We start from the raw sequence: 13,082 nt of genomic DNA, 5'->3' as shown, positions 1-13,082 counted from the left end.
GTCTTGATTTTACAATCTACCCAAGGTACTAAAAATTTATGTGAGATTTGATATTTGTCTCTGGATACTTTTCACATCAAACAAACACATGTTCTAACTTTCAGAGGCTGAAACCCCAAGGCCGATGAATCACAAGGAGAATGAAGCAGTCTGCTTTTCAGTTTTCCTCGCGATTTTTATTGCAACCACCTTTACATCATGCAGAGGTTACTACAGGTTCTGTCGTTTTCATTTTAGATTTTTATATATAATTTTGAATTTTATTCCTATTTTTGTTAGAAAATAATTTTTCCTCATGCAATGCCACTTCCAAGGCAGTACACATTTGAACTGGCAAAGTTTGTCATACTGACATTGATGTAATAATTTTTTAAAAATCACTTCCAAGTCATCCACTGAAGTGTCAGCAATGAATTGGCATACCAATGCAAATAGAGGATGAAGAATGAGCCACAGAGAAGGAATTAGGAAGAGCATTTTGGAGTCCATCAAGATATGCGTGCTTGAGTCTCGCCATCACTGTCTCTGTCTCTTTCTCTGGTAAAAAAAATAAAAATAAATAAAGCCCAATTTTGAGGGTGGGGTGGAAGTGGAATTCTTAAATGTCTACTGCATACACGAAGGACTTAACATTTGTATTTTTCCTCTGAAAATAGACAGCTAAATTCTTCAGAAAATGTGCTGGGGCAGAGGCCATTGCTGAGCCCAGCTGTTGAGGAGTCTGCCCGCCCCAGCGCATGCCCCACACCATGGTCATCCCCAGCTCCATCTGTCTGGTGTCCTGGCCCTGACCTGGCAGATGTCGTGGGTGAGCATGAGAGGGGCATCCTGGCAGCTGTGGGTTATTCTAAGAAGAATTGTGTCATTGTGGGAGAAAGGTTGCCGCTGATGGCCAACTTGTGCTGGTTTGCCTAATACTTTCCCAGTCTGAAAGTCTTGTGTCCAGGGAAACCACCGTCAGTCCTGGGCAAACCAGGGTGCTTGGTCCCCTTCAGAATCACCTCTATCCACGGAAACAGCACCCACCCCATAACAAGGGATGCACATTTTCAGCTAGACTGGACTCAAAATTTGACTGTTTTTCAGATGAAACTATGAGCTAAAAGATTTTCAGGAGTTGCTGTCTATTCTTAGTTGTAAAAGACTTCCATTGCCTTCTTCAACCAAGATGATGCCAGAAAGTATTCTTTTTCTATGGTGCCTATCCTCACCCCACCACGGTGCTTGGCTTTTCCTCAGCGTCTTCATTGGCAACAAGGATGCACCTCCTTCCTTCCCATATGCAGTTTGAATGATCGGAATTTGCATAACTCTATTGTCTCTGGTCAAAGACATTTATCTTCATGTATGTTTTTCAAGGATAATATTTTAAAATAATGTTCACCTTCTATCAGAGCATTTCTGGTCAGACCCAGTTCACATTTGCATTGATTGATGGCTATTTTAGAGCAACTGTGAAACCCCATTCTTCAACCCTCAGTGGTTTTGTTTCTTTAGGCTTCCAGTGGGACAGTTTTCCTGTGCCACCAGACCAGTGCCTGGTCAGAACCCGGTCAAGACCCTTTTCTGTATTTGTAACTTATATTGTGAGCCAGATCACACTATTTTGCTCCATGTAATCTGGCCTCTGCCTCCGGCCTTGTCCTGATGCCCTGGCTCCCAGCCTCTTGCCTGTGTCTTTGTCATCTCGCACCCACTCTGGAGACCCAGGATTTGATGCTGCTTCCTGGGGCTGACCTTGCCCCTCCTGAGTTTATATTTGCCTCTGGTTCTTCAGAGCACCCCCCTCCCTGATCTCACTCAACTTCCCTTGACACATGGCAGGTTTAATTATCCCACATGGAAAAGGGAGTAAGACATAGAATTTCAATGTACTATGCATAAAAATGAAATACACTCTCTAACTTACCTTCCAGGGTTGCCATCTTCACCCTCTATTCAAACACTGGTAAAGGAGAACCGGGACACACACCTAACATCTCTTTGCGAGTCATGCCGTGTTGAAACGGGACAGGAGTTTTCCCTTATCCCCCTCACAGGGCATGTGATGGGGGTGTGGCTCGCTTCTTTTGTGCCCCAAAGCTCAAACCCCTAGGGGGAGCAGGCAGACAGGCAGGTCGTGGCGCACGTGGGCTCCAACCCCAGGGCAGTGTCTAGGGTTGAGTGTTTACAGCTCTGGAAGCCTCAGTGGGTGTGTATTACAGTGTACTCTTTCAGCTTAGCCATCCGCAGGCAGCTTGTGTTAATCAGCTCAGTTAGACCCTCTGTCTTATCACAAAGATGGAGGGCTTTCTCTATCCTGGGGTTCTTGCCCTAGTGTATCGAAAAAATCGGGTCACGTGTGGGCTTGGAGAACGAGTGCAAGGTTTTATTGAGTGGTGGAAGTAGCTCTCAGTGGATGGATGGGGAGCCAGAAGGGGGATGGAGTGGGAAGGTGGTCTTCCCCTGGAGTTTGGGCTGCTCAGCAGCTGGGCTCTCCTCCAACCGCCCTTGGTCAAATTTCCCTTGGCATCCACATCATTTCGCCATCAATGACCTGCCAGCATCTATTGATGTGTTCTGCCGTTGTGTTTTTCTCAATGTCCAGCTGCTTGTGTGTGTGCCTGCTAGGGTGTCAGGGTTTTTATAGGCACAGGTTGGGGGTGTGGAGGGTCAGAGCGGTCTTGGAAAATGCTACATTTGGGCATGAAAACAGGAGTGCTTTTCCTCACCTAGGTTTGTGGGCACAGGCCCAGTGGTGGAGCCCTTGCCAGGGACCCTGCCCTTCTCTACTCAGCACTTCCCTTCCCGCCTCATGTATCAATGTGGCCCTAGGTAAGTCACTTCATCTCTCTGGCTCTCAACTTCCTTGTTTTAAACAGAGGAATAAAAACCCAACACATAAAATTCCTAGGACATTAAATGACAAAATATTTATCATAAAAGCACCTGTAAACTCTAAGTCATATACCAATCTAATGTATTACTATGTTTAATAAGTTAAGTTACCATATAGGATGAAAAATAGACAACCATCTTTCTTAGTAAGGTTTTGGTGCTGACTGATGGGATGCAGGAGCCAACAGCTTCTTGAGAGCTCTCCTTTTATGTTTTGAAATAAGAGTAGAAGAGCAAGTCAATGCATTTAGGAAGAGGAAATGGGGAACAGACACACTATTTTATAAATAGTAACAAAGATATATTGAGTTAAACCTCCCAAGGTGGGTTGTTAAGTTAGAGACAGAAGTGAATGGTGTAACAACTCAACTGTGCTGGTGCAAAGGCTCCTAAGAAAGAAGTCCACACAGGTTCGTATTTTAGCGTGCGTCCAGTCCCTGGCACAGAGAAAGCTTGGGATGGCTTGAGGGGATGCAGTGGGCTAAAGACAGTCTTCTCCTTCCAATGGAAACCTGCAAGAAAGGAAAGAGCTTACACATTTCTCTCCATGAGCTTAGAATAGGAATTTGCAAGATATCTAAAAGCAATAAATATTTGGTGAGATTCACTCACTATTATGGTTTGACTGTGTTCCCATCAAAATCTCATCCTGAATTGTAATTCCCACAATTCCCACCTGTTGTGGGAGGAACCTGGTGGAAGGTGGTTCAATTATGTGGGCGGGTCTTTCCTGTGCTGTTCTCGTGATAGTGAATGAGTCTCATGAGATATGATGGCTTTACAAATGGCAGTTTCCCTGCACAAGTTCTCTTTTTGCCTGCTACCATCCATGTAAGACATGACTTGCTCCACCTTGCCTTCCACCATGATTGTGAGGCTTCCCCAGCCACATGGAACTGTAAGTCCATTAAACCTCTTTCTTTTGTAAATTGCCCAGTCTCAGGTATGTCTTTATCAGCAGCGTGAAAATGGATTAATACACTCACCAAATGAGGGAGGGTCTAGCAGACATCTCAAAAATCTGACAGGGGTCTCCTGCAGAGCCCCAGGCATGTTTATTCAGATGCAAATGGTAGGGGAAAAAAATAAAACCAATAGCACTTGTTCTGTTTGGATTTTCAATGAACTACTAAATACAAGGTCTGAAAATTATTAGTGACACAAATCCTGAGTAAACTGAGTGCTCAAGGGTCGTTTTAAATACTAGCCTACATTAAGGTTAGCTTCTAATTCTTCTGCCTTAATTGTAAAATTCTTGGCTATCCACCTGATTTTAACTAACAACTTCATAGGAGCACTGTATATATTAGAAATACTTTCAGCTCCAATATCTGACTAGTCAGAGTATCTGACTAAAAACCAGTTAAGCCATAAAGTAGTTTTTAATTATTTTACATAACAAGAAGTTTGAAGATAAGCTTCCAGATTTTTGCAGCAGCTTAAAAATTGTTGTTAAGAATACAGACTCCTTTTGTCTCTCCCATCTTCAGGATATGAGTTTTGCATCTTCAGGCTTGTCCCTCAGCATTACAAAATAGCTGCCACAGGTTTAATATTACATCTTTGCATGGGTACATTTATTTTAGGAAGGGAAAAGAAATGTGATGAAAAAAGGGATTTCTTTTTTACAACAGAGAAAGATGTTTCCCAGAAGATCCCCCTTCCCTGACCCAGTAGACTCCCTCTACATCTCATGACTAGATCAGGGCCACAGCCACCTGCAGGTGTAAAGGAGTGGGGAAAAGACTCCTTTCATATGGCAAAGAGGAAAGCTCATCATAATTGGCCTAAAGCAATCCTGAATCATTGCTGGAAACTTGTCATATTGCCACTCTGAATAAAGTCAGGGTTTCGTTAGCAAGAACGAAGGACTGAGATAACTATGGGTAGACAAAAGATGTTACCAAATCTGAATAATGCAGCTCCAAGGCTTTAAATTCCAGTGGCAATGCAATCACCTTTATTTGGTATCAAGTAAACTATATGTTCTAAAGATCTGAATCTTTCATTAAATGACAATTTTGTGGGAATTTAATGTTTGTGACCTGACAATACAATTTGAAATAAAAGCAAAGGACATTGATTTGGTGCTTTGGGCCCAAAATAACAAGACTAAAGGAGAATGTAGTAGTATATCTATCAGGTATCTCTATATAGTCAGAGCTATGAACAAGCTATTCCAAATTAACTGAAATGAATTACTCATATACATTTCAGCTCTAGTTATTTATTCTTATAAGACAATGTGATAATAAATTTTAGTAGAATATATCTGAGGAATAAGATAGGCAGTTATTTCAGAAGTCTGGAGATTAACACAGGACAGAAGGAACAGTTTCATAAAAACAAATGGCTTGTAAAACCTATGTTAATGAGTAGCTGATCCCACAGGTTAAATACTATAGGAAAATGCAGCCCAAAAAAGCAGAGGCTATGATTTGTCCCTTTAAGGAGACTAGGCACCTTGAAAAACCATGTTTGTTTTTTATTACATTAGTGAGCAGTCAAGAAAATTCAAGCACTTTAACAAAATGCATAATCATTATTGGAAAAACCTCTAAGAATTTCTTACTTTCCCTTTGCCTTGCTTCCCTGAATTAATGTTTTGCTTTTCTTGCTATAGCATATCCAGTTTTTAAACCATCTCCAGTCCTGTCTGATGTGGCTGGTAGTGTATAAACAAACAACTAACCAATCAAACTGAAACCCCATGTATGGTCAGTGACATTGTGAATATAAAGTAAAGTATTTCCCCTCCCCTTTTATAGGCCATTTAAACAATTGTGAAAGTTGTTCTTTGTGTGCATGAAGCATACCTAAAAAAGTACTGAAAACTGGAAGAATATGTTCTCATTCCCAGAATGGCCATGTGAGCTGCTGCATGGCTCTGCTCCTCCACTAAACACACATAACTGGTGAAAATATAAAAGGCAACAACAACCATCAGAAGTTTCTGGAAATTGCTCTAAGGGCACACAGCAAATGCAGAAAATTTGCTCCAGACTGTCTACTAAAAGTCTGCCAGAACAGTAAGAGTCTGGCATTTGAACCTCAACCCACTTCCTCCTTTCTCTCTCCTAGCTCAGCATAACAGAGACTCCATCCCAAGTGAGTGCAGCCAAGAACGCAAGATCCTGCTCCCCTCAGTTCTCAATCGAGGGCTGCGGCATCTTCCCAGGAAGGGCAGGCTGCCAGCATTTCTCATTCTCCCCAGCTAAGAATTGCAAAGTGTAAATTCCAGTCAAGTGCAGCTGGGTCAAGGAATCCCTTCTTCCATCCATCCTTCAATCAGCCATAGCACACTGAGAGTACTGGGGTCCCATTTGCTCTCATTCAGCTTGTTCATAGGGCAGACTCTGCTCCAATATGCAGCAGTCTCCATATTAGGAGAGATAAGCTGGGAAAACCAGAGGCTGCCATCTCACCTGGTGCCCTGCTCCTAAAAGCAGGGAGTCACCACTATTCCTATCCCCAGCTACGGAGCCATGGCTCAAAGATTTATCCCAGGGGGAGAGGCAAGCCTTCTAAAGTTTGCCTTTGAAACACAGTGTGGGGAAGTTCGAGCCTAAAGACACTATCATAAGCAATGGAAGATTCAGGGTTAAGCAATTAAGAGGAGACTTCACAAGAGACCCAAGCTAAATAATAGACCAGTTCGTTTATGAGAGAGAACCAATTATAAGACATAGCTATGACGAGCCCTTCTGAGGTCAGAACAAACTTCAAACACTGACTTCACACCTACCCCTGCAAAAGAGCTCAAATTTAATTGAATCAGACTGTGGAACAGTTTCTATCAGGGCATTCTTGTAAACAATTGAGCAATCAGCAAGCAGTTAGTGGAGCCTATCAGCTGGCTGTGACAAGGGAAAGAAATAGTCAAAGAAAGCCCTGCTCAAACAAATCTCATCCCACCTGGCTGAACACGTTTCTAATTTTGCACTCTTTGAGAAGCAACATCAGAGGTCTCACACTACTGGGGAAATAGACATCCCTAGAATGGTCTAGCCAAGTAGCAAAATAAATAAACAAGCAAACAAAAACAACAAGGCTCAGAGAGGGTATTGGTATCCAGCGCTACCATAAAATTTTATGTTCGGTTATCAACAAAAAGTTGTGAGGCAAAGAAACAGAAAAAGCATAATCTACACAGGATCAAAAGCAGGTAACCAAATGTGCCTGTGAAAGAGACCAGATGTGGGGTTAACAGAGCTATATAGGAGTAATGTTTCTATATCTCACCGGAATTAAGTTAGTATAGGTCTGAAGTAAATTCTGATAAATTAAGACATATATGGTAAACCCTTAGAGTAACTACTAGAAAATAAGTAAAAAGCATAGTGAAAGAAATTTATGTATACAAAAGAAATCAATAATGGAGGAGCAGAGGAACAAAAAGAACATGAGACAGAAAACAAAAAGCAAACTATCAGATGTAAACACAACTCTATCAATATAACACTAAATGTTAGATTTGATTGGATAACAATCAAATCAAGAGGCTGAAATCATCAGACTGGATAAAGATACAAAATCCAACTACATGCTGTCAACAAGAGACACATTTGAGATCAAAAGATATAAATAGGTTGGAAGTAAACGAATGGAAAAAGATATACCATGCAAACAGCAACCTTGTAGTGACTTTATAATATCAAACAAAACAGACTTCAAAACAAACCAAAAAGTTACTAGAAATAGAGAGGAATCTTTTATAATGATAAAAGGGTCAATTCATCTAGAGAAAATAACAATTTAAAACATATATGTACTTAACAATTGGAACTCCAAAATCCCATGCAGTGAAAACAAACAGAATTGAGGGGATATATTAGTCTGTTCTCACACTGCTGATAAAGACATACCTGAGACAGGGTAATTTATAAAGAAAAAAAATTTGATGGACTCATGTTTCTATGCTGCTGGGCAGGCTTCAAAATCATGATGGAAGGCAAGGGAGGAGCAAAGGCACATCTTACATCGGGGCAGGCAAGAGTCGCAATGAGAGCCAAGTGAAAGAGGAAATCCATTATAAAACCATCAGATCTCATGAGACTTATTTACTACCACTCAAAGAGTATGGGGGAAACCACCCCCATGATTCAATTATTTCCCACTGGGTCCCTCCCAAAACACATGGGAATTATGGGAGCTACAATTCAAGATGAGATTTGGGTGGGAACAAAGCCAAACCATATCAGGGAGAAATAGAAAATTCAACAATAATAGTTTGAAGCTTTCATACTAACTTTCTGTAATGAATGAAACAAGTAGGCAGAAGACAAACAAGGAAATAGACGTGATCAACATATAAACCAACTCCAGGTAGACCTAGCAGACATCTATGGAAAACTCCACCCAGTAACAATAGAATAGGCTTTTTTTTTCAAGTGCACATGGAACCTTCTTAAGGATTGACCATATAAGATACCATAAACAGCCTTCATTAAATTAAAAATGATTAATGCAAATTCTTTTTTATGACCATAATGAAAAAAATTAAGAATCAATAACAACAGAAAGATGTTTGGGGGATTCACAAAGGTGTAACAATAAAACAACATATCTTAAATAACCTATGAGTCAAAGAAGAAAACTATGAGTCAAAGGGAAATTAGAAAGTACTTTAAAATGAATGAAAATGAAGACACAACACACCAAAATTTGTGGGATGAAATCAAAGCAGTGCTTAGAGGAAAATATATAGCTGTACATTCCCATAATAATAAAGAAGAAATATCTCAAACTAAAAACCTAACCTCCCACCTTAAGATGCTGGAAAAAGAGCACCAAACTAAAACAGCAAGCAGAAGCAAAGAATCATAAAGATTAGAGTGAAAATTAGTAAACTAAAGAATAGAAAAACAATGGAGAAAATCAGTCAAACCAAAAGTTGGTTCTTTGAACAGATTTTTTTAAAATGACAAACCTCTAGCTAGGGAAGTATATGTATTTCAAGAAAATGTAATCAACTTTCAATGTACAATCTATGGGTTTTTTTAATGCATTCAGAGTTTTCTGGATAAGATATAGTATAGACTGTGAAGCTGAAGTTCATAACATAAATCATAACTGCCTGATATAGTAGCATTATAACTAGTTTAAACAATCACTGCGTATGCATCTGGGCTCTTAATGGGATTCTTGGAAGTTAGCAAGAATGAGATAGAGGACAATTCAGAACCCAGTGGACTGCTGAGCCAGAACAACTTGGAGGTATTTGCCATCCCTGAGATCCTCTGATTTTATAAATATCAGCAAAAGGTTCAATTACCCCAAATCTTAATGTCTCTTGTTTCATAAATCTGTTTTATTAAGATGTCAGGAAATACAGCAACAAATAATAATAAAACTTGTTTTTAAATCTCAGGGATACCCAATCCCTGGGTATTGTTTAACGTGGCCAATGTTGGTGGATTTATCACATAAGTGAATATTTGGGTATACAATGTGGCCACCAGGCACATCTTTAGGAAATACAGATAACAGATAATCAGCTTGGAGAAAGGCTAGAAGTTAGAAGATCACTAGTGGTCTTTTCTGAGCATTTCAGGGACTATTTGGCCAGTTGCTTCACCACAGCTAACTGCATCACTCTTACTTGATTGTCCTGTTTGGGAGGAAAATATGATTCATACCTGTCAACTTCTGCAACAGAGATAAGGACTTTTTCTTCTATGTGTCCCTAGCAGCTTGCACTGGTCTGGCACCCACAATAAGGGTTTCCAGGCCTAACAGCAATAACTGTAATTCTAGAGTGCCTATGATGTGCCAGCCAGCGGTCATGTATCTTTGACCCTTCCAGAGCTAGCACGGAGCTATGTGCCTCATCATACATCTTCATCCTCTTATCGTCATCACAAAAACCTGAATGCTTGCTTGATTGTGGGAACAAGCCCTCCTTGAACTCTAGCAAGGTAGTTAAAAGATAGCCCGGGATGATTCCTACCTGTGTAACCTTGGGCAAGTTATTTAATCTCTCTCTGCCTCAGTTTCTTTTTCTGTAAAATGGGGTCAATGATAAAACCTATCTCCCAGTTTATTAAAAGATTTAGTGAGTTGATGCTTGCCAAGCATTTAGAACAACGCCTGGCAGATAAGAAACGCTATGTGTCTCTTAAATAAATAAAATTAGTCATTGAGTTAAATCTCCCTTTTACTATGTGAAAAAAGATGAGCTTGCTCCAAACTTCACAGTCTTTTCTGCCAATGGGCATGTGCTTCTACCAGAGGGAAAAAGGATAATGGACCTTGAATTTCCTGATATCCCCATGGAGGCCAAAGCCTTCTGCTCATGAGCCTGTGTTCACCCCTATTTGGGATGTTTTCTCCCAAGCACTGGCTTGGGAGCAGCCCCAAAGTTTCCTTCTCCCGGCAAGCCATGCGTTTTGCGGACTCAGATATTTGATGAGTATTTTGCCAAAGCAGAAACATCCCAGTGAAAACTAATGACGAAGACAGTTCTGCCATACTCCGTTGCCTCCTCTAACTGGAGAAGACAACAAACAGCACACACAGCGTCTCTCTCAGACCCACCTATGTGGGTCTGAGCTTTCACACAGCTTTCATAGAACTCCCTACAGTGTCCACAGGCCCCAAGACACCACTGCCCAGGGCGCCCCTGACCCACAACCTCCTAACACAGTGGCACGCCATTTTCGTTTCTGCTGGTCAATGTGACTGCTTTAGTTCCTCCAGTGGGATCCAACTGACCTTCGATATTCTTTATACTCTGGGGTACATTTGCTGTAAGGGTGTGAACAGAAGCTCAGTAAAGCCCAGATAATACTCAAAGCATGCTCTGCTAAATTCCATGCTCCAAGGAGTGCCAGATGTAGCAAGAAAAAAAAAAAAGAATGCCAGGTTAAATTTGAACTTCGGATGAACACAAATAACTTTTTAGTATATGTTCCATACAGTATTTGGGAGATATCCATACTAAATTTTTTTTTTGCTGTTTATCTGAAATTCACATTTAACTGGGCAGCTTGTATTTTATCTGGCAACCCCACATGCTGGAGAAGCCTTACAAGGTTAGTTAGTATTTGGTGGTGGGGTAGGGGGGGAATGTCCCTCTCTACAAATGATTTTTTACCAGCAGGCCAATGGTAGGATTGTGAATGAGACAGCCCAGAAGCAACTGCAGAGGGTCATGCAGAACCTCTGTATGGACAGCTTTGCTCTGTGCCATCCTGGGGCAGAACCAAAATCTCACCTACATAACGGAGGTGATCTTTACTTCTGTTTATTTACTTGTCCTGAAGAACTCTAGGATTTCAAACGTACTTGAATTCATCATGAATCCTCCACAATGGCCACTTTCAGGAGGGAATTCAGTGTATGGAGTTTTCTTTGACTCCAAAGAATTGAGCTTAAATAAAGTGACATTCACAAAAACATGCTTATGTATTCATGCATACGCCTTTGTATATTCTCTCTTATACCCACTCTGGCTAAGGCCAGTGTTTCCTCATGATATGGTTTGGCTCTGGGTCCTCACCCAAATCTCACGTAGAATCATAATCCTCAATGTTGGATGAGGGGCCTGGTGGGAGGTGATTGGATTATGGTGGTGGACTTCCCCCTTATTGTTCTTGTGACAGTGAGTGAGTTTTCACAAGATCTGCTTGTTTGAAAGTGTGTAACACTTCCCTCTTCGCTCTCTCTCTCTTGCTGGCCATGTGAAAATGTAACTACTTCCCCTTTGATTTCTGCAATGATTGTAAGTTTCCTGAGGCCTCCCCAGAAGCAGAAGCTTGTGCGTCCTGCAGAACTGTGAGCTAATTAAACCTCTTTTCTTTATAAGTTATCCAGTCACAGGTTTGTCTTTATAGCAGTGTGATAACAGACTAATACACCTCAGTAATATTAATAGTAGGCTAGTATTTAAGGCTGTTGTAATATCTCTGTTAAAATAAGGACAGCATTCTGAATAATTGAGTTTGATCACATGATATGTGATGTTTAGATGCCTAATGCTGGCTGCAGTTAGTACTCAAAGTTTACCTGTACTATACACATGGTAAAAGACAGGTGGCTTTGTGCAGGGTGGAAGGAAGATAGGAAAGAGGAAAGAAGAAAAAGCAAGGAAAAATATACAGAAGCGGAAAGAGAAAAAGTAAAATAGAGAAGAGTATGCCCAGTGTCTAATTTCTCACCAGGTTAGATACATTTTCCTTTAACCATTAAGCTTTTAGTCTTTTTAGACTGAAGGTTCAAAAATCTTTGAAGAAATAAAATCAATTTAATCAAATAATCAGTTGTTTGGGAGCATAAATAAATAAGAAATTAAAAGCACAATTGAATGCAAACAGCCGTCCCAGAGTGTGATATAGCAATTCTCTCTCTATGGTTGATACATTTATCTATAAATTAATTAGATTTTGTCTCCAAAAGTGTTTAAGAATATTATATATTTATGTATGCATCCTTGAAAATGATTATGGAAACAATGATCCATCCTGAAGCAAGAATTTTTTTGTTTTGTTTTTTCTTACTCCTCGCCATCCTCTTTGCTGTTTATCTGAAATTCATGTTTAACTGGGCAGCCTGTACTCCTGTAAAATAGTGACCCAAACAACAAAAATACCTGCCCTTGTTGGGCTTATCCTCAATCTTCCCTGTGTTGCTCGCATTCTGATACAATCAGCTGTATTTGACTACCAAGCATCAGAAAAAAATTCTTTTTTTTTTTTTTCTGATGCTGGTTTATGCAGAGCTCGCTTCATGGCCTGGTGACCAGTGCATTCATGCAGAACCTCCTGATCAGAAGGGTCTTGCTGTTACCAGCCTGTGAGTCTTAATAATTTTGTACATGCAATCCCTCCTTTTCATTTTCTCCTGAACTCTGCAAAGTATGTAGCCAGTCCCAGGTTTATGCATTATAATATAACAAAAATATCAAAAATAATAATTGCAGTTCCATAGAGAACTTAGAACTTACCTCCTAAGTGGTTTAAATCTTTTGATATCTGGGACCCCCAAACCCCTAGAAAGTCAGAAGATAATTTTTTCTTTAATGGGAACAATGAAGTCTCAAGGTATTAGGTCCGTGTCCAGCTAAAAGTCTGCTGGGGCTAAAATCCACCTTTCCTAAACCTCACATCACATTTCTCAAACTTAATTGCTTCATCCTTGCACTTTCCCAGGTCTTTCTGTTTTCTCTCCTTTGTCACAGCTGAGGCTGTCACTAAAACTGTGGCCCT

The 13,082-nt window shown here is 40.4% G+C and overlaps 1 long non-coding RNA gene across 1 annotated transcript; it reads right to left on the bottom strand.

Annotated features, from left to right (window-relative positions):
* Positions 1-154: 154 nt before the first annotated feature.
* LINC02529 (long intergenic non-protein coding RNA 2529) lies at positions 155-13,067 on the bottom strand. Its single transcript, NR_125873.1, has 3 exons — positions 12,821-13,067; positions 3,248-3,389; positions 155-537 (listed from the first exon to the last, which is right to left on the bottom strand). It is a non-coding gene; the product is annotated as a long intergenic non-protein coding RNA 2529 (long non-coding RNA).
* Positions 13,068-13,082: the final 15 nt, after the last annotated feature.

The sequence above is a fragment of the Homo sapiens genome, chromosome 6 (genome assembly GCF_000001405.40).
Source record: "Homo sapiens chromosome 6, GRCh38.p14 Primary Assembly".
In the NCBI taxonomy this organism is placed as follows: Eukaryota; Metazoa; Chordata; class Mammalia; order Primates; family Hominidae; genus Homo; species Homo sapiens.
The sequence above is the reverse complement of the archived record's forward strand: the minus strand, read 5'-3'. Positions and strand labels throughout refer to the sequence as shown.